The sequence below is a fragment of the Homo sapiens genome, chromosome 15 (assembly GCF_000001405.40).
Source record: "Homo sapiens chromosome 15, GRCh38.p14 Primary Assembly".
NCBI classification, from domain to species: domain Eukaryota; kingdom Metazoa; phylum Chordata; class Mammalia; order Primates; family Hominidae; genus Homo; species Homo sapiens.
Window position 1 is genome coordinate 49,643,094 of NC_000015.10, and position 20,234 is coordinate 49,663,327.

Sequence of the window (20,234 nt, forward strand, 5' to 3'; positions counted from 1 at the left end):
TTAACTGTCATGTATAAGATTTTATTATTTGTTTTATGTTGCTTCTGTATATACCTTGAGGTGTTTAAGAAAATATCTTGTTTCAAACTGGGATTGAAGGAAGTTATCTGCAGTCTTTAAAAAAAAATTCTTAGAATAATTAAGAGAAATCATTATTATTGTACCAAGCCTGTGGTTAAGAAGAAATATTTATATTTTTTCTTTCTTTCTTTCTTTTTTTTTTTTTTTTTTTGACAGGGTTGTTACAAGTTGAGTTGAAAACAAGAAAAACTTGCTTTTGGCGCCATCAAAAAGGAAAGCCAGATACTTTCCTTTCTACAATTGAAGCCATTTACTACTTTCTGGTAGACTACCATACTGATATATTAAAAGAGAAATACAGAGGGCAATATGACAATCTTTTATTTTTCTATTCTTTTATGTACCAGTTGATAAAGAATGCCAAATGCTCTGGAGATAAGGAAACAGGAAAACTTACACATTAGTTTTTAACAAGCCACTTATGTCTTTTTATTTTGCTAACATTAATAAACTTATATTTGTGCTTTGTTTTTTCTTAAGAAATAATCATATATAATGCCTGTAAGACCATTTGAAAAAATTCCAGTTTCATATATATCACTTCATATTTCTTGAAGGAAATTGTATCTGGGGGAATTTTTCAGAGATACTGTTGATTGAAAAACTTACTTCAGAAGTTATTTGCTCAGTGAAACCTCAGTTTCATTACTACATTTTAATATAGTGTGTTATGTCTCTGTGATTAGATATAACATATTCCATTAGATCTAATTAGCTATTTATTTCAACATCTTTATATCTTTTCACCTGTACTCATGACCACCTTTAGAAGTAAATGGGGTTACAATCTGCTGGCTGAAAAATAGGTCATAAGTGATTTTTCTTGAGGTTAGTAGCAAACATAGGCAGAACTAGAATTAGAATTCTGGTATCTAGGGCTGTTTCTTTAAGTCCTAAGGTTGTTAAAAGCAGAGACTCTGGAGCTAGACTACCTGAATCTAAATCTCAGCCTTTCTGCTTATCAGCCATGTCATTTTCTTCCATTTGTACAAAGCAGGCAATACTGAGCAACTACCTTATAGGAATAACTGAGTTAATATCTAAGGGGCTTTCAGCAGTACCTGAAATATAGTAAGTGTTACATATATGTTTACTCTTTTTATTTTATTTGGAATTGTGAACTGATAATAATTGAAGCCTACCTGCTAGTGGCCATCTCTGCTGCCAGGTGAAAAGAGCCTGACTTAGAATGAAGTCAGCGAAGGAAAGCAGAGTGGAGAGAAAAAGAGAGACTGAGTCCTGATGACATCATTTATTTACCTAGACCTAGCTGCTTGTGAATAGAGCCCTACTGTGCTGAATAGCTTCTGTCTGCTCTTTTCTATTCTGCTCCCTGCTCTGTGAGGTAGGTTCCTTTGCTCTCTTGCTTTTGGTTGGGTTCAACAAATGGGAAGCACCAGTGGGAGATTAGAAGTTGAGAGGAAAATGAAATGATGTTATTTATTTCCCTGGCTCCTTTCCTGCCATGTCATCATCAGTTGGCTGTGTTCCTCTACTAAATAGTACCTTATCAGGAATCCTATCTCTTCTGTTCCCAAGCAGTTACCCCAGTTACCTCACTAGGTTTAGTTCCTGCTCCCTCCCTTTACCCCTTTTCACTTAGGGTTGGTAATAGCTTACAGTTATTACTAGCCCCAGTATAGTTCACTACAACTTGTTGCTTTACCTAAACCCTGCTCATACATTTGTAAATACTGTAGTTGTTTTATTACACTCTTCTCAAATGTCCCCACTTGAAATAGCCTTCTATTTCTTTTGGGGACTCTGATAAATTCACCTGTTTGGGTGAAATAATAGCACATTTCCTGAAGTATATACAGTGGGACACATGATGTTTTATGGGGGAAAGAGTTCTTGGTGAAATTAGTTTGCTGTACATTACGTTGTTTCCCTCCCAGGGATTCAGAAGGCAAAACATATTAAAGGTTCTGAAAAGTCCTGAAATAAACATTTTGAACTTTATTTAAGCTGATATATCTTAAACTTACTTGAATATGTAGCACCTATTAACATGCCATGGAAATAGGACGTTTGGAGTATTGTAATTAAGAACAATTCCTATTAATATACATGGGGCAACTGAGAATTAAAGAGGTAAGTAAATTATTGATAGATCATACACCTAGTTAGTAGCAGAGCCTGTTCTAGAATCTGGAACTTCTGATTTGGTTTGGTTCAGTAAGGTCACCATTATATTATGCTATTCATAAAAAGGAATGTGGATTATATAAGGCTTGAACATTATTAGTCTTACAGTCTTAGCCAAATAAACTAACTGGCTTGCTTATTTTAGCAGTTATTCTACAAGAATGGAATTAAAATAGATTTTTTTTTTCATGTTTAGAACTTGGCCCTGGGAATAGAGGAAGGCTTGAATTGATTTAAGCAGGGCCAAAGTTGGATTTCTCTAGGCTAAATTTGGACTTCCCTGAGCCAAAATCTATTGCATTTAACTGGCTTTACAAACCAACTAAACATAACAGTTCAGAGGGAAAAGAAAAAAAAAAGCGAGAGACAGAGAACAATTCTATCACTCATTTGCCTCCATCTCTCAGCTGGCATAAGAAAGATGACCCACGTACTTCATAAGAGCCTAATTTACAGCTAAGGCCAGATAAAATCTCAGGTTCTTTTCAAAAGAAGTTAGTAATACCTATTAGAACAATGAATTGACTATACTTGTCTTAGTTTTTTTTGTTTGTTTTTTGTTTTTTGTTTTTTTGGTGTGATAGATGTAACAGTGGCCCTAATTCTTTATCCTTGCTTGTATTCATGGTCATTTTTCAGGTTCCTTTGAAGTACTCCCCCCACTGTGATTCTGGGTCATCTGCATTCAGAGATTTAGTGCATTTTTACTTACACTTGTGCTTCTGCTGTTGACATAAGAATATGCATGGCTGAGTTAGCCTGCTGGAGCATGAGACTCCATGGAACAGAGCCAGGTTGCCCTGGTCACCCTCACTGAATCTTGTCTAGATTGGCTGATGGCCAGCCAAACCCAAGATATGTGAATGATTCCAGCCAAGATCAGCAGAGTCATCTAACTGACACCTACCTGATTCCAAACATGTGAGCAAGGAATGTCTATTATGCCACCAATGTCTTATAGCTATTTATTGTGGCTATAGATATCTCATCTTTGGATGCATTATCAGATCATCTTCTTCAAGTACCTTAGAAGATTCTCAGTCTCATGTTTCTTGGGCTCTTGACCACTTGCTTTGCCTTAGCTACCACCTCATATAGTAACAGATTACCAGCAGGTTTGTATGATTCCTCTGCTTGAGATCAATTAGCCATATGTTCAGAATCCCTGGCCTATAACAACACTTCTGTGCTTTAAAAACCCCATGCCACAATGACTGTTAAAAGGGCTAGGCGATGTAGTCTGGTAGGTTTGTGAAGTTAACTGTCTGAAAAACTTGGATCAATGGACTAGAAAAAGCTGCTGGGTAAATTGCTCTTCTTCTGATGGACTGTATAGAGACACTGTTTTTCATCTTGCCTGTCCAGAAGCGTACTCTGTGGCCAAGCAAGTGTACTTGCCACATGATTGGCAGTGTCTCTTCATGGCTTTTCATGAAACAGCAGCAAGTGCTACACAGTAATTTATCAGTTTGCATTTGCCTCCCATTATTGCCAGCCTCACTTCCTTTCTTCCTCGCTCTTACCAGCCTGGATTGTACCTTTAATAAAGTAGTGGATATATTTCCTTTAGGGTCTCTTTTTCTAGGGAAGTCAGGTGTTTTAGTCTGGATTTAGTTAGAAAAGCAGCATCGTTACAAGTATTACATGAATAAAGAAGTTTAGTAAAGAAATTAAGGTTTACCCCAATGTGAGAATTACTGGGGTAATAAAGGTCTGGAAGGCTGCAGCAGAAGAGATTTAGAGAAGCAGTGACTAACTAGGTCAGCCGGAGATTCTCAAAGTACTCATGACTTCATTTGTAGAAACATGTATATCTTAAGCATATCAAGTGTCTCATTCCTCTAATCTTTCTAGGAGCCCTTTGGTTCATCCTGAAGGTCCCCCTAAATCCCTTCAGAAGTCTTAAAAAGGAGTAAATGGCCACACCTTTTATTTGTTCTTTTCTTTGAGGCCATGTTAATGGCAGTCCCTTGATTTGGTCTTTGTACTAGGCTGTTTTTAATGATCACATTTTATTTGATGAGAAACAATTTTATTTTCTAGTTCTGCATATCCTAGGTTATGTATTTCATTTCAGTTCCATTTCCATACCCATTGCCTTAATTTTGAGCTTGTCTGTTTCTTACATTTCTCATTTTGACAGAATAAGCTGACTGTTATTAAGTACAATAGATAAGGTACCTAAGAGCCTCGAAACATCACCAAATACCATGAATGCATTAGGTATATTTTTTGTCTTCCATGTTACTGGAAGCATTAATTATAGCAACTTTTTATCTCCAAATACTGACAATTAAAAGACCCTAGTGAAAACTTTAACCAAACACTTACTGACCCTACATTGAAGGCCACCAGCCAAAAATCACCACCCATACATAAGAGCCAAACATCACTAGACACTTGGTGAAATCCTTCAAATATAAAAGGGGAAAAGGAGGGGAGAAAATCCAAAGGAAATAGACAAACGGAGAATAATGGCAACAAAAAAAAAACTGTCTTCAAAATAAGAGTATATTATATTCACAAAACAAGAATAGGAGAGTGTGAAAAAGAACAAGCAATAAAAAAGATCTCAGAAATTTAAAAAGTGATTGCTGAAATAAAAATTAAATATAAGAGTTGAAGATAAAATATAGCATAAGAATAGAAAATTCTGAATTCCAAATACCTAAGGCCAATCTTAGTTAAAAGTTGTAAATGCAACCATAGGCTACATGTTACATTGTATTTAATTAAAAACCTTAAGAGGAAAGGCAATAGAGCTTGTAACAGCTATTACCCTTGGTTGTAAAGGAGAAGGTTGGAGATTATTTGTATACCAACTACTTAAGTTTACAAAAAATAATGAGCATTAGGTAGATGGAATGAAAGTCTATTCATACACTGTATATTAAGCTCTATATACACTGCATATCATCATCATGACATTGAGTTTCTAGCTGGATTGCAGAGATGAGCCAAAGCGCTTCTCCCCAAATTATTATTTATTCATTTTTGAGACAGAGTCTCACTCTTGTCTCCCAGGCTGCAGTGCAGTGGTGCGATCTCAGCTCACTACAACCTCCACCTCCCAAGTTCAAGCAATTATCATGCCTTAGCCCCCCGAGTAGCTGGGATCACAGGCATGTGCCACCACACCCCGCTAATTTTTGTATTTTTAGTAGAGATGGAGTTTTGTCATGTTTGGCCAGCCTTATCTGAAACTCCTGACCTCAAGTGATCCTGCCTTTGCTTCCCAAAGTGCTGGGATTAACAGGCCTGAGCCACAACACCCAGCCTAAATTATTTTTAATTATGACATTTTTTGTATTCCCTTGAGGCACTGACAACTATAGTCTTATTTTATATGTTATAGTGAATCATATTTATCTCATTATATATTACAGAATATTTTGTTTGATGGAGAAAATTCACTGACCTGTGCTGTAATGTTTATACCAGCAATTAGCTGATTGATTTACTATGACCTCACTCTTTATTCAGCAGTTCTGCCACTATTACTAGCTAATCCAACAACGAGGCCTTATTTTGGCTTTCTTTCGAAAGGTCATTTCTGACCCCAGCTTGAAGTTTGTTTATTTTCACTTGAAGAGATCTCTCAGAAAGTCAAAGAAAATAGGAGGAAAAAAACTTAAGATTAAGGGCCAATCTAAGAGGTCCTTCATTTGAATAATAGGAGTAACAGAATGGGAAAGGCGTGGAAAAAAATTTGTGATTTCTAAAATTGAGGACATTAAGTCATTAGAGTAAAAAAAAGATGTACATTAAGGCTTATCATCAAGGAATTTCAGAACACTGTGGATAGAAAATACTAAAAGATTTCAAACAGAAGAAATAGGTCGTATATCGACCAATAATCAGGATATTAAAGGACTTCTTAACAACATTGGAAACTAGAAGACATGGGGTGATGCCTTTAGAACTTTAAGTGAAAATAGTTTTCTATTTGGATTCTATTTTTAGTCATGCAATTAATCAAGTATGAATATAGTATAAAGACACAGAAGGTCTCAAAGGTATTACCTCCCATATATTCTTGAGATAAAGATGCTTAGGAGAATACTGAAGATGTTTTCCAGTAAAACGGAGAAGGAAACCAAAAACCAAAAAAGAGAGCATTAAGAAGTCAGCAGGCCAGGCGCGGTGGCTCACGCCTCTAATCCCAGCACTTTAGGAGGCCAAGGCAGGTGGATCGCCTGAGGTCTGGAGTTTAAGACCAGCCTGGCTAACATGGCGAAACTCTGTCTCTACTAAAAATACAAAAATTAGTCGGGTGTGATGGCATGTGTCTGTAATCCCAGCTACTCGGGAGGCTGAAGCAGGAGAATCACTTAGAACCTGGGAGGCAGAAGTTGTAGTGAGCCGAGATGGTGCCATTGCACTCCAGCCTGGGTGACAGAGTGAGACTCCGTCTCAAAAAAAATAAATAAAAAAATAAAAAGTCAGCAAAGGGAAGTTTCAGGGTTTCAGGATTCATTCATCCATTCTAAAAAATTTTGAGTGCATACTATGTGTCAAATTATTGTCTAGGTGATGGCTATAGCATGCCGAGGTAGTAAGTGCTAAGAAGAAAATAAAGCAGAGTAAGGAACTGATAGTGACTGGTGCAGGAAAGGGGTGCCAGTTTAAATAGCATGGTCAGATGGAAAAGCCTGTGATAAGGTAAAATTGAGCAGAGACCTAAATGAGAGAGAGTGAACCATGCGAATAATTAAGTGAATAATGTTTTAATTATAGGGAACAATATGTGTGTGTCTATATATATATATACACACAAAGGTACTGAGGCAGCAGTATACTTGGCATGTTTGAGGAATAACAAGGACACTAGTTTGGAACAGTGTGTGGGAGGGAAAAAATGATAGAAGATGACATCATAGGGAGTAATGGTGTGGAGCCATGGTAAGATGTTAAGATTTTACTCTGAGTGATGAGATAGGAAGCCATCAGAGAATTTAAGCAAATGAGTGACAGGATCTGACTTATATTTTTAAAGGATTATTTGGCTTCTTTATGAAAAATAGACTGCAAGAGAGTAAGAAATAAAATAGGAAGATCAATTAGAATGCTATTTCAGTAGTCCATTTGAGAGATGATATTTGCCTGGACAAGGGTTGTGATCATGGGCGAGTGGTACAGAATGACAAGATCCTGCATGTATTTTTAAGGTAGAGCCAGTATTTGCAGATAGTTTAGACATTGTGGTAGATATGAAAATGTGCTGCCTATATCCCCCTTCTAGGAAGGACTTGCTAATTAGCTGCAGGGAGTGTGAAGAACAGAAATCCACCAGTATCAGCACTTCATCTGCAACAGCTATAGAAAAAGCTTCACCTGAGGTTACCCTCGTCTTAGATCTCAGGGCAGCCCTCAGTGGAGATGTAAGGCCTTGCTACTTCAGCCTCATTTATTACACTGTCAGGCAAAACCTTCCTCAGAGCTCCCTCTATTACAACTTAATTTCTTCTTCTGCCCAATCCTGCTTCCTCCCCTTCCCCTGAAAGGTGACACTTTCTAATAAACATCTTACACCCCAAACTCCATCTCAGCATTCCTCTTTAGAGGACTCGACCTGTGGTAATTGTTAGTAGGAGTGATCTGAGCTGCCAATGAGAATCCCATCACATGTGGCACATGGAACAAAAGCCCATGGCTCAAGGTGGTAACTTTTATTAGTGGTAAAATGAGAAGATTTACCCACGGAAGAGAATGTGCCAGCAAGTGCAGTATATCAGGTATTTGAGACTCATGAAGGAAATAGTAAATTTAAGAATAACAGAATTGAATGGCCAAGTGCCACTAATGCTCTGTAGAAAGAGGGCTTCTTTGGTTGCATACAAATCTCATCTAGAATTTAATAGTCCAAGTAGCCAAACTGGTATTTGTCCTTAAGAATAAATACTGGAAGATCAAGCACAGAAAGTCTAGAATAGAGGCATGTGAATGGACATACTTGTGTCAAGTATGTACATGAACTGTGAAGGTCTCTGTATTACGTGCAGTGCCCACCAGAGAGCATTCAGTACTGAAGAGTCTCTAAACAATAAAGCAAACTAAACACATTGCCTAGTTGACGTCATCCTTCCTGCTTCAGTTATTCGCCACCCAGTGCTAGCACAGTGGGCACATGAATGGAATGTCCACTGTGGAAAGGATGAAGACTAAGCATAGGGTTCAGTAGCTTGAGTTTCAACTTACCAAGGCTGCCTTAGCTGCTGCTGCTGTTGAATGTCCAACCTACAAGCAACACAGACAATACTGCACCCCTGATATAATACCATTCTTCAATATCAAGTTGGTTACATTGGGCCCCTTCCACACTGGAAGGACCAGCATTTCCTTGTCATAGAAATAGACACAATTTCCAGATAGGAGTTTGCTTTTCCTCTTTGCAGAGCCTCAGTCAGTATCACCATTTGAGTTTACTTAGTATTGTATTGACCAGCATGCGATCTCACATTATATCATATCAGATCCGGAAACCTATTTTATGGAAAACCAAGCGCAGGAGTGGACCCATATCCACAGGATCCACTAATAATATCACTTTTTTCACCACTTGGAATTTGTCAGCTTGATAGAACATTGGAACAACCTGCTGAAGGTACAGCTGAACACCAGCTCATAGGCAAATTCTACAAGGATAGGATGCCATACTCCAAGATACAGAGTATGTACTGGATCAATTATCCTTATATAGCATGTGCCCCAATATGAAGAATAAATGGGTCTTGGAACCCATTTATTCCTAGGGGTAGATGCAAAGAGAGTAGAAGAAGAGGTGCCTCCCCTCCGTGCCATCACTTTTAATGACCCATATGGTACTTTGCACCTCTTCATAACTCTGAACTCTGCAGTGAGAGGTCTTGGTCCCACAAGGGGACACAGTTTTGCTGAGAGATATATAAAAAATCTCACTGAAAAACATAAGCTGCAGCAGCTACCTGGATACTTTCGGTTCCTTGTGTCTGTCTAGGGAGCAGCAGCCAATAAAAGGAGTCAAGATCAGTTGACCCTAATCAAGAGGAGATTGGAATCCTGGTTACACAATCTGGGCAGAAGTAATAAATGTGGTGCCCAAGTGATAAACCTACCAAATTGAGACTAATGTGTAGGTGTGGCAACCCATCCTCAAAAGGGCATGATGGCCTGGAACTCAGGCCTCTCAAGGAATGTGGGTCTGAATTATACCAGATAAACCACCAGGAGCAGCAGAGGTGGTAGCAGAGGCTGAGGGAAATCTAGAATTGATAGTGGAGGATGAGGGGATGTGACAAGTATTGATGGCATTCCCAAGCCCCACTGCAGCAGCAAGCACTGTAATTTGTCCCACTAATCTCCCATCTTCTAAATTTCTGAGAGGTCAAGAAAAGAGGTCTCTTGATTCCTTTAGGAACTGCTCCCTAAGCATACAGGGAGACATAGATCTATGTGGAGCAAAGGGTGGATTGTAATAAGCAAAGAGATACACTGCCTGATTCACTTTAAGAAAGGACTGACCTCCCAGTTGCAAGGAATGAGGTCAGCAGCCTCCAACTGTCAGCTCCTTCAGAGTCTGCTTCAACTGCAGAAGGACACTGTGCTTGAGGTCATACCCTTCCCATGTCTGGTGACTGAAGTCCAGCTGAATGTAGCTGCCAAAGTTACCTTAATGCCCATGGGAAGCAAAAAATCAAAGAGTTTAAACAGAATTTTGAGAAATCCCAAATCAGTTTTTTTTCAGCATATGACATTTTGGAGTAGTTTGTTATTCAGCAATAGATAACAGAAATTGGTATCAGGAGTGGGGTGTTACCATAACAAAAGGTTAAACCTTACATGGTAAAAAGGACTTTGCCTCTGTCATTAAGTTAAGCACTTTGAAATGTAGAGATTATCCTGAATTATCTAGGTAGGCTCAATATAAGCATGAGTCCTTAAAAGTGGAAGACGGATACATGAGAGGATGTCAGAATGATGTGAAATGAGAAGAACTCAACCTGCTATTGTTGGCTTTACAGGTGAGTGATAGGAACCACAAGCCCCAAGCAGCCTCTGGAAGCTGGAAAAAGCAAAGAAACAGATTCTTTCCAGAGTGTCCAGAAAGGAATGCAGTTCAGCTAACATCTTGATTTTAGATCAGTGAGATTTTTGTGTTGGACTTCTACAGAACTATATAAGAATAAATTGTGTTGCTTAAGCACACTATAATACATGTGGCAAGAAGCTGCCAGCTAAGCCTTGAAGAATAGTGAACAAACTCTTACTGGAGGATGGGAAGGCAGTAAATAAATTATTGAATTATTGAAATAAATGGAGGATTGAGTTATGCATTGACAGAATGCTTAGCAATAATTTTGCTTGTCTTAATGTGGAACAGAAAATGAAACTTAATAGCTTGTAGATGTCTTAAGGAGATTTCCAGGTGAATGTTGAAAGTACTGATGAACTTATTATGGCTGCATCTCATAATGTACAGGAAGACATTTACTGAGTGAACTAAAGAAGGAACTGTTCAATTTGAAAGCAGAATTTAGAGGAAATTTTTCAACCTAGTACTTGTCATTTTTTTATAGAAAAGGAAAAATAGATGGAAGATGGAGCCAAAATCCCAGAGGGAGGAGCCAAGAAGCAAGGAGAGCAATGGATTAGGAAACCACTACCAGAGGGATGAACTGAACCACAATCAAGGAATAGCCTCTTCCTTTGGTGTAGGGGGACCCTGAAAACAATTTAATTTTATGCTTCCTGTTTCCTTGTCTCCTTTTTTGAATGATAGTCTCTGTGTGGTGTTCCTATCCTAGAAAACCTTAACTGGGACAAGCTACTCTCAAGCATCTTCACTTGAGAAACAGTAACTGAGGAAGTTTATTGTATCTGGACATGGTTTAGATGATAAGATTCTGAACTTAAACTTATGCCATAATGGAGTGAGACTCTTAGGGTACAGAGTAAGTACATTTTTGCATGTTAGTGAGACAAGAACTGTGGCCGGGGGCAGACTGTGATAGTTTTTGAAGATGTCCCTCAAACAATTCCTTCCCTTCCTTGGACTCCTCTCTTCAGAGGGTAGAGTCCATTTCCTTTTCCTTTTAATCTGGATTGGCCTTCTAACTCACTTTGACCAATAAAATGTGGTAAAAGTAAGGTCTGGCAGTTTTCACTTTCACTCTCCTGAACCTTCATATTAGAATTCCAGGATATCCTTCTAGAGATATCCATATCTCTAGGGACATGGTGAGTCCCTAGAGACACCACATGGAAAGGCCACCTAGGGAAGAACTGAGATGCCCCAGTCAATAGCACTGCCTTAGTCAGTTTGGGCTAGTATAACAGAAATATCATAGATTGAGTGACTTTTTTTCTTTAAAAAAATGAGATTGTGGAACCTGAAAATACAGTGTAGTAAGAGTGGAGAGAAAGGCCACCTAAGGAAGAACTGAGACGTCCCAGTCAATAGCACTGCCTTAGTCAGTTGGAGCTACTGTAACAAAAAATATCATAGATTGAGTGACTTAAACAACAGAAATTTATATCTTACATTTCTGGAGACTGAAAATATGGAAATCCAAGATCAGAGTTTCAGCATGGTTAGGTGTTTAGTGGGCGCTCCCTTCCTGGTTTGCAGACAGCCATCTTCCTGCTATATCCTCACATGATGCAGAGAGAGAGAACTCTGGTATCTTTGTCCCCTTATAAGGGCACCAATCTCATCATGGAGGGTCTTCAACCTCATGGCTTCTTGGAACCAAATTACTTCCCAAAGTCCTCACCTCCAAATCTAGCACATTGAGGTTTAGGGCTTCAACATATGAATTTCAGTGCATAGAAAGCACCAAGTCCTCAGACAAAGAGAACTTGAACCTTCTAACTCAGCTTAGCCATTATCTGCATGCAACCACATAAGTGACCCTGGGTAACACCATCTGGAGCTGAAGAACCACCAGCCAGTACACAGAAATGAGAAATTTTAAAATGGTTGATTTAGGTAATTAAGTTTTGGGGTGGTTTATTACATAGCAATTGATAACTGATACAACAGTCTTTTCGTTAGTAGAAGAGGGGGTAAGAAAGAAAGACTTATGAAGAAAAGACCTGTAGAAAATCGGGCCTACGTACCTCTATTTTTTTTTCATACTCCCGTGTTTTTTTTAGTCCATGCTGGTGGTATCCTCATCAATGCAATTTTCTTTAAAACTCTGTGAGCCTTTATATCAGATTAGTCCACCCCATTAGAACAAAAGCAACTTCTATAAATATTGAGACATTCCCTTTCTACCTTTGGCTAAGAATTGGGGTGCTATAGATAATTCCCAAAAGATTATCTAGCCTACAGGGCCGATGAGGTATAGCTTGAAGTCATTCTAAAGTCTTCACAAAGGATCTTACAGCCTTTGATTTTATTATCACTCTGGGACCACGTTTTACTGTTGGCACGTTCGGCTTTTCTCATCTTTTCCCTGAGATCATTTATGATGTGGAAATTACTTTGCTGGCTGAAGTTGGGAATAGAAAACAGTAGAGAATACTTCAAGAGTATTCTAGGTATGCACTAAGTTTATGGGAAGATATGCCATCTACATAATTTACCTTCCTCTCTAGGCCCATCATAAAAATCTTTGAAAAATTAATACTACATTTTAGTATGAATATAAGTTAAACTTAGAGGTGATATCTATTTTGTGGTTAAATGTGTTATAAACATTTATTTAGTGAAATACAGTACAATTACAACAAGCATCAATGAATATTTAATGAGCAGCTGTTAATTTCTGAAGCAGAAAGAAAGATGAATAAAAGTTCTGGTTTTACTTTTAAAAGTGAAGGCTAACTGTTAGCTCAAGAAATACTTTATGTTTGTCCTATATGAAAGTGTTGATTGCACCTGGTTCTTTGCTGTAAATTAAATAAAAATTCAAATATTTGTAAAAGAATATTTCTTTCTTTAACCTCGAACACTAAGACCTTAATGTTTATAATTTTATTATCAATGTCAACTTTTAAAAACAAACATACATATTTGGCAATGCTGCAAATAGAATCTAAATTATTGAATCAATTTTTCTAATTGTTGATTATTATTTATTTTTTAATTGATGATATATTTTGAAATTTTATAACCACCCTGATTCTGAAAAATAAATTAGTTTGTTGCCTTCAAGGATTCTTAGGTCCAAGTAAAATGGATTCTAAAACAAAAATTAAAGGAAATCTAGATTGATTATATTCTCGGAGATTACCTAATATTCTTATCATTTATTATAGAGGATTTTTTCACAGTCACAGTGATATATATTCCTGTCTCTTTTTGTATTATTAAATATTTGCTATTGTAACATTTTTTTCCCTTCCAGTTTCTCAAGCAAATATTTCACAAATATTTTAGGCAACTCTAGAGAAATTTTTAATACTTCAATGCACAATACATTCTGATTTTCATGCACTTTGTCCAGAGGGAAGGGAAGAAGGAAAGAAAGAAAGGAAGAAGGGAAGAAAAAAAGAAGGGAGGGAGGAAGGAAGGGAGGGAAATGGAAGGGAAGGAGAAGGCAAGAAGGGAAGAAAGCAGGGAGGGAGATAAAAGGGAATGAAAGAAGGGAGCGAGGGAGTGAGAAATGGAGGAAGGAAGGGAAAGGAGGGAGGGAAGGAGAGAGGAAGCAAATACCCTGGCTGAACCAAGTGGCCTAATGTTTTGTAATCTTAGGGAAAATAATTTCTTTTTTTTCTTCCAAGACACATTTCCCTGAAAACATGTTGTTTGTATTTAAAAGACAGAAGTCTTTGTTATTTTTGGAAACTATTTTTGAAAGTTAAAAATGTTTTCCAAATTTAAGCTTGGACACCTCAGTTTATTTGAACAATGGGAATTAAGAAGCTATTCCAAAAGTAAATTAAGATGAAATCAATGCACAGAGATATTTAAAGCTGGAAGATGGCATCTTCAGAAATCTAGGCTATCCTGCTGGAGAGAAGGACTATGTGGCAAGTCCCTGGAGACACTACAAGGAAAGAAAGGCCACATAGGAAAGAGAAGGAATAATTGAAGTACTCCAGTCATTAACACCAAGGAAAGAAGGGAAATAACTGAAGTACCCCAGTCAACACCAAGGCCCCAGCCAGGTAAGAGAAGCCTTCATGAACTTGCTCGTTCAGCTTAGCTAACAGGTGAACTCAGCCATAAGAGCAACCCCAGCTAACATCACTTGAAGCAACTATTGAAAATAGTTAATCTGAATAACACATAAGCACCATATCAAGAAACCAGGTAGTTGACTGATTTTTTTCATTATCTAGTCATTAATTCTATTATATGCTGTCAGTTTGTTGCATATGGCCTTTATTATATTGAGGTTCACTTCTTCTATACCTTAATTTGTTGAGAGCTTTGTTATGAAAGGATGTTGAATTTTGTCAAACGCATTTTCTATATCTGTTGAGATGATCATGTTTTTTGTCCTTCATTTTGCTAATGTGGTGTATCACATTTACAGATTTGCATTTGTTGAATGATCCTTGTATCCCTCAGATAAATCCCACTTGGTCATGGTGAATGACCCTTTTAGTTGAATTTGGTTTGCTAGTATTTCGTTGAGGATTTTTGCATCTGTGTTCATCAGGGATATCAGCCTGTAGTTTCTTTTTTCTTGTAGTGCTCTTGTCTGGCTTTGGAAGTATTCACTGTTCTTCAAATTTTTGAGGAGTTTGAGAAGGACTCGTATTAGTTCTTCTTTTAATATTTGGTAGAATTCAGCAGTGAAGCCAACAGGTCCTCGGCTTTTCCCTGATGGGTGACTTTTTATTATTGATTCAATCTCCTAATGTGTTACTGGTCTGTTTGGATTTTCTATTTCTTCATGATTCAGTCTTGGAAGGTTGTGTGTGTCCAGGAATTTATCCATTTCTTGTAGGTAATTCAAATCATTGGCATATAATTGTTCACGGTAGCCTTCTTGTATGATACTTTGTTTCTGTAGGATCAGTTGTAATGTCTCTTCTTTTGTTTCTGATTTTTCTTATTTGAGTCTTCTCTCTTTTTTTCTTAGTTGAGCTAAAGATATGTCCATTTTGTTTATCTTTATAAAAACCAACTTTTGGTTTCATTGATCATCTTTATTGTTTTTATAATCTATATTTCATTTATTTCTGCTCTGATTTTTATTATTTCCTTCTTTCCGCTAACCTTGGGCTTTGTTCTTATTTCTCTAGTACTTGAGGTGTAACTTTAGGTTGTTTGTTTCAGATCTAGCTTCTTTTTGATGTAAATGTTTATTGATTTAAACTTCCATCTTAGAAACACTTCTGCTGCATCCATATTTGTAGTCTAATTTTCCAGTCCATGCTAGAATAATGACAAACTCCATTTTCTTTTGATCTAGGAATATAGTGCAATCAATCTTTTTTTTTCAGTAAATCTTTTGTATTCCTATCAGTCTTCTGATTTTAGGTTATTGGCCAAATAAGTATTTTGGTAGTTATAAAAATTTTTGCTTTGACTACAATTTTAATACATAAAGTAATGGTTCTTTCTATGTCAAGAGATGAGCCAGTCATATATTTAGAAGTTTTTTAAAGCTCTTAGCTTACTTTTAAAAAATTTATATATTTAGGGTTAGGCACAGTGGTTCACACCTGTAATTCCAGCACTGTGGGAGGCCAAAGTGGGCAGATCACTTGACGCCAGGAGTTCGAGACCAGCCTGGCCAACATAGAGAAACCCTCTACTAAAAATACAAAAATTAGCCAGGCATGGTGGTGCATGACTGTAATCCCAGCTACTCAGCAGTCTGAGGCATGAGAATCGCTTGAACTTGGGAGGTGGAGGTTTCAGTGAGCCAAGATCACACCACTGCACTCCAGCCTAGGCAACAGAGCGAGACTCTGTCTAAAAAGAAAAGAAAAGGAAAGAAGAGGGGAGGGGAGGGGAGAAAGAAATGAGTAAAGCAAAGCAAAGACAACAAATTTATATATTTAGAGCCCGTTTGTCTGTTTGAATAGTTAGATAAAAATAGTTTCATTACTGAATGCTTTAAAATGAAGGCTATGTTTCCCTTTTGGTGTCTCAAATAAACTTTCCCACTTCACCCACTAACATAGAACATTGCTCCAGCTATTAAAAAACTACAGTTTAGGAATGTAATAATGCAACAAACTAAAATTAATCACAAATAACCTGTATGTATTGACTTCACCAAAGAGGTATCTTGTCTGACTAGACACCTCTTGTCTGACTAGATACCACTTGTCTGTGATTTTCATTCTAAAATTAGGGTTGGAAATAGGTGTATAATACTAATTTGGGGGGACCTGGTTACTAATTTGGAGACTGCCATTTTCAGAAATGTTAGTCTTGAGATTTGTCCCTCTACATTTGCATCGAAAGGTGAATAAGTTCAGTGTAATTAAGGTCACTAAGATTATGCAGATATAATTTTTAATTTTTAATGATAAATGTTAATTAACCCAAGTGTACAGAGCATGTAACATATCACAGAGGTACATGAAGCTAACATTTTCGTAGAAGTTTATCTTACAAGAAGGATATAATACCAATTTCAATACCACAGGTAAAGGGAATTCAATCAAAATTAAGGTAGATTATTCAATATAATGTTTTAAGCCTGTTTGGCTGCTTCTAGCTATACAGCTTATTCTACACTGCTATTGTCCATGAATAATTGTTATACTGTCAAGGATATCAGACCATGTTAATAATACCTAGAAGAACATATCTTGAAATGTAAGTGTATTGAAAAACAAAAATAGAATACACTTGAAAGTCCAATTGCATACTTACTCATTCAATAAATATTTATTGAGCATCCACTACATGCCAGATATATCTATCTTGCTTGTGACTGTTTTAAAATTTTTTTTATTTCCAAATGTTCATTGCTAGTACATATGCTCCTCCACTTAACTATAGTTAATTCCTGATGAACACACTGTAAATTGAAAGAATCTTAAGTCAAAAGTGTGCATAATACACATAACCTACCAAACATCATAGCTTAGTCTAGCCTACCTTAAACGTGCTCAGAACACTTACATTAGCCTATAGTTGGACAAAATCATCTAGCAACACAATACACTATAGAGTATAGGACGTTTACCCCCCTGATCTCCTGGCTGACTGGGAGCTGCGGCTTGCTGCCACTGTCTAGCATCATGAGTGAGCATCTTACAGCATATCTAGCCTGGAAAAAGATCAAAATTCAAAGTACAGTTCCTACTGAATGCTATCACTTTTGCACTATTGTAAAGTAGAAAAATTACAAGTCAAACTATTGTAAGCTGGGGACCATCTCTTTATAAAATGTGATTTATTTTATAAAGTGACCTTGTATCCTGTGAATTTGCTAAACTCACTTATTAGTTCTGTGAACATTTTGCTAGATTCCTTGGGATTTTCTGTATAGACAATCACATCATCCCTGAATAGACAACATTTTATTTCTTCCTTTTCAGTAAGTATGCTTTTTATTTCTTTTTCTTGATCAATTGAATTGGCCAGGACTTGAATATTGGATAGATGTATAAGAACAGACATCCTTTCCTTGTTCTCAATCATGGAGGGAGGGAATTTAAACCTTCACCATTAAGTATGCTAGGTTTAAGTTGTATGTGCATGTTCATGTGCATGTGTGCACATGCTACCCATTATGGGATTAAGAAAGTTCCCTTATGTTCCTAGTTTGCTGAGAGTCTGTTGAAAAATATACAATGAATGGAATTTGAACTTTATCATTTTTTCTGCATATATGTGGTTTTTCTTCTTTAGTATGTTTATATGGTAAAATACATTTCTCTAATTGTATTTTCTAATTTGGGACCAATCTTGCATTCCTGGGATAGACTTTGCTTGGTTATTTATTATCATTTTTATGTTTTTGCATTTGATTTGCTAATACTTTGTTGAGAATTTTTGCATTTCTGTTTGTGAGGTATATTGGGGCATAGTTTTCTTGTGCAGTGTTTCTGTAGTTGTAGTATCAGGGTACTGCTACCCTCCTAAAATGAGTTGGGAAGTGTTATCTCCAGTTTTCTTGAAGACTTGCAATTTTTGTATTTACAGATTTTTATTCTTTCTTTCCTAAATGTTTGGTAGAATTAATCAGGGAAACCATCAGAGCCTGGACTTTTTTATTTTTGGAAACTTTATACTTAAAATTCATTTTTTGAAACAGATATAGAAACATTTAGGTTAACTTTTTTCTTGAGTGAGTTTGTCAGTTTGTCTCTTTCAAGAATTGGTTCAGTTCATCTAACCTGTGGAATCTATAAGCAGTGATTGTAGGATTCCCTTCTTCTACCTTTAATGCCTGTAAGGTCTATAGTTTTCTATTTTTTCTTGATAAATCTAAGTAGAGATTTATCAATTTTATTGATCATTTCAAAGAACAAGTTTTTTGTTCCCTTTTGTTTCCTTTACTTTTTGTCAGTTGTATTGATTTATTCTATTTATCTTTTCCTCTTTTGATTGATTTGGGTTTAATTAGCTTTTTTTCCTACTGTTTTAAGTTTGAAACTTAGATTATTGATTTGAGGTTTTTCTGCTTTTTCAATATAAACATTTAATACTATAAATTTCCTTCTAAGCACTGCTGAGAAGGACATAGCTGTAGCTGCATCCCACAAATTTTGACATGTTGTATCTTCATTTTCAATCGGTTCAAAATAATTTCCAATTTCATTTGAAACTTCCCCTTTGACCCATGGGTTATTTAGAAGTGTGCCACTTAACTTCCAGGTATTTGGGGATTTTCCAGAATTTTTGTTATTGATTCCTAATTTAATACCTATTTGATTAGAGAATACACTTTGTATGATTTCAATTATTTTTAATTTTTTAGGATTTGTATTATAGTCCAGGATATTATCTATATTCATGAATATCCATTTTCAATTGAAAAAAAAAGTTTGGAGTCTGCTTTACAGTTAGATCAGGTTGATTGATAGTGTTAGTCAAGTGTTCTAGAATCAATGGGAAAGATAGGTTGTAGTGGGATTACTCTTGGCCAGCAGTAGAAGTTTAAGTCGGATTTTGAACTCAGATTTTTCTGACTGTACAGTTGATATTGTTTCCATTATGCCACAACGAAACATGAAAAGCTCCTAAAAGGTCTAAAAATCTGCTAGGTATTATGCAGCAAACATAATTCTTGATCCTAAGTTTACCCTTATGCTGCAAGTAAATTCTATTTTTTGCTTAAAGAGGAAAAGTCAAAACCTACTTAGGAAATGTACAAGTTTTCTTGTTCTTTGCAAACAGACATTAAATATTTTATTTAATTTCTCATTGGAAACAGGCTTTAAATATGTTTTCTAGTCTACCCAATTTTGAAAGACATGTCCTTCTATCTCTTTTAAAAGTTAATAACTTTGGAGTCAAAGGGCTACTTCCCTTTTACTATAGAGGGAAACACTGAGGCATAATGAGGAAAAAAATATCTTAAACCACTGCATTAGATATCAAATTTGAGCTTTTCTTCACTTTTCACTCACACTCCTCCCTGCTTCCTTCTATTCCATGAGTTAGAGGGGTAGATTAGAGAAGTATTTTCCAGTCTTAAAGAAAAAAAAAACACCCACATTCTCTGTTCACAAATATAAGTATCCCACACTCTCCTTCTGTTACATTTAAATTTTATAAGTAAATGAAACTTTTACTTAAAAGTTTTAAATAGTCATTTTATTTTTTTTTTCAAATTTCTTATGTCCCCCTCTCCTGAATTTCATGTGTACTCCCTAAGGATGACATCCCATGTTGGAAGTGCAAATCATTTCTTCTTCCAGATTCATCTAGATCTTCCCATCTGGGGATCCTTTGGCAGTCTTCTTGTTCTCCTCAAAGTCTTTTTCACCTTAACCTGTCACACTGTGGCTCATGTGTATGCTCTGAAATGGATCCATCATCATAGATGACCTTCTCCTTTTCCCCTGTAAACCCATGCCTTCCATAAGGGAGCAGGCCACAAAGCTAGCTAACCCATGCAGAAGTGTGCAAAGAAATCTATGTCACAACTCATGAG

General features: G+C 36.6%; 1 protein-coding gene across 6 annotated transcripts in view; it reads left to right on the forward strand.

Moving 5' to 3' along the window:
• DTWD1 (DTW motif tRNA-uridine aminocarboxypropyltransferase 1) overlaps positions 1 to 13,139 on the forward strand; it is a 35,185-nt gene extending 22,046 nt beyond the window's left edge. For 4 of the 6 annotated variants that reach the window (XM_017022426.2, XM_047432881.1, XM_017022425.2 and 1 more), the window contains one exon: positions 10,785 to 13,139. In XM_017022426.2, coding sequence (XP_016877915.1) covers positions 10,785 to 10,798 — 14 coding nt within the window. In that variant the 3' untranslated portion in view covers positions 10,799 to 13,139. Of the gene's footprint in view, positions 1 to 237 lie in introns of all 6 variants that reach the window. The other 2 variants (NM_020234.6, NM_001144955.2) reach the window with 1 other exon arrangement.
• The last annotated feature ends 7,095 nt before the right edge of the window (positions 13,140 to 20,234 follow it).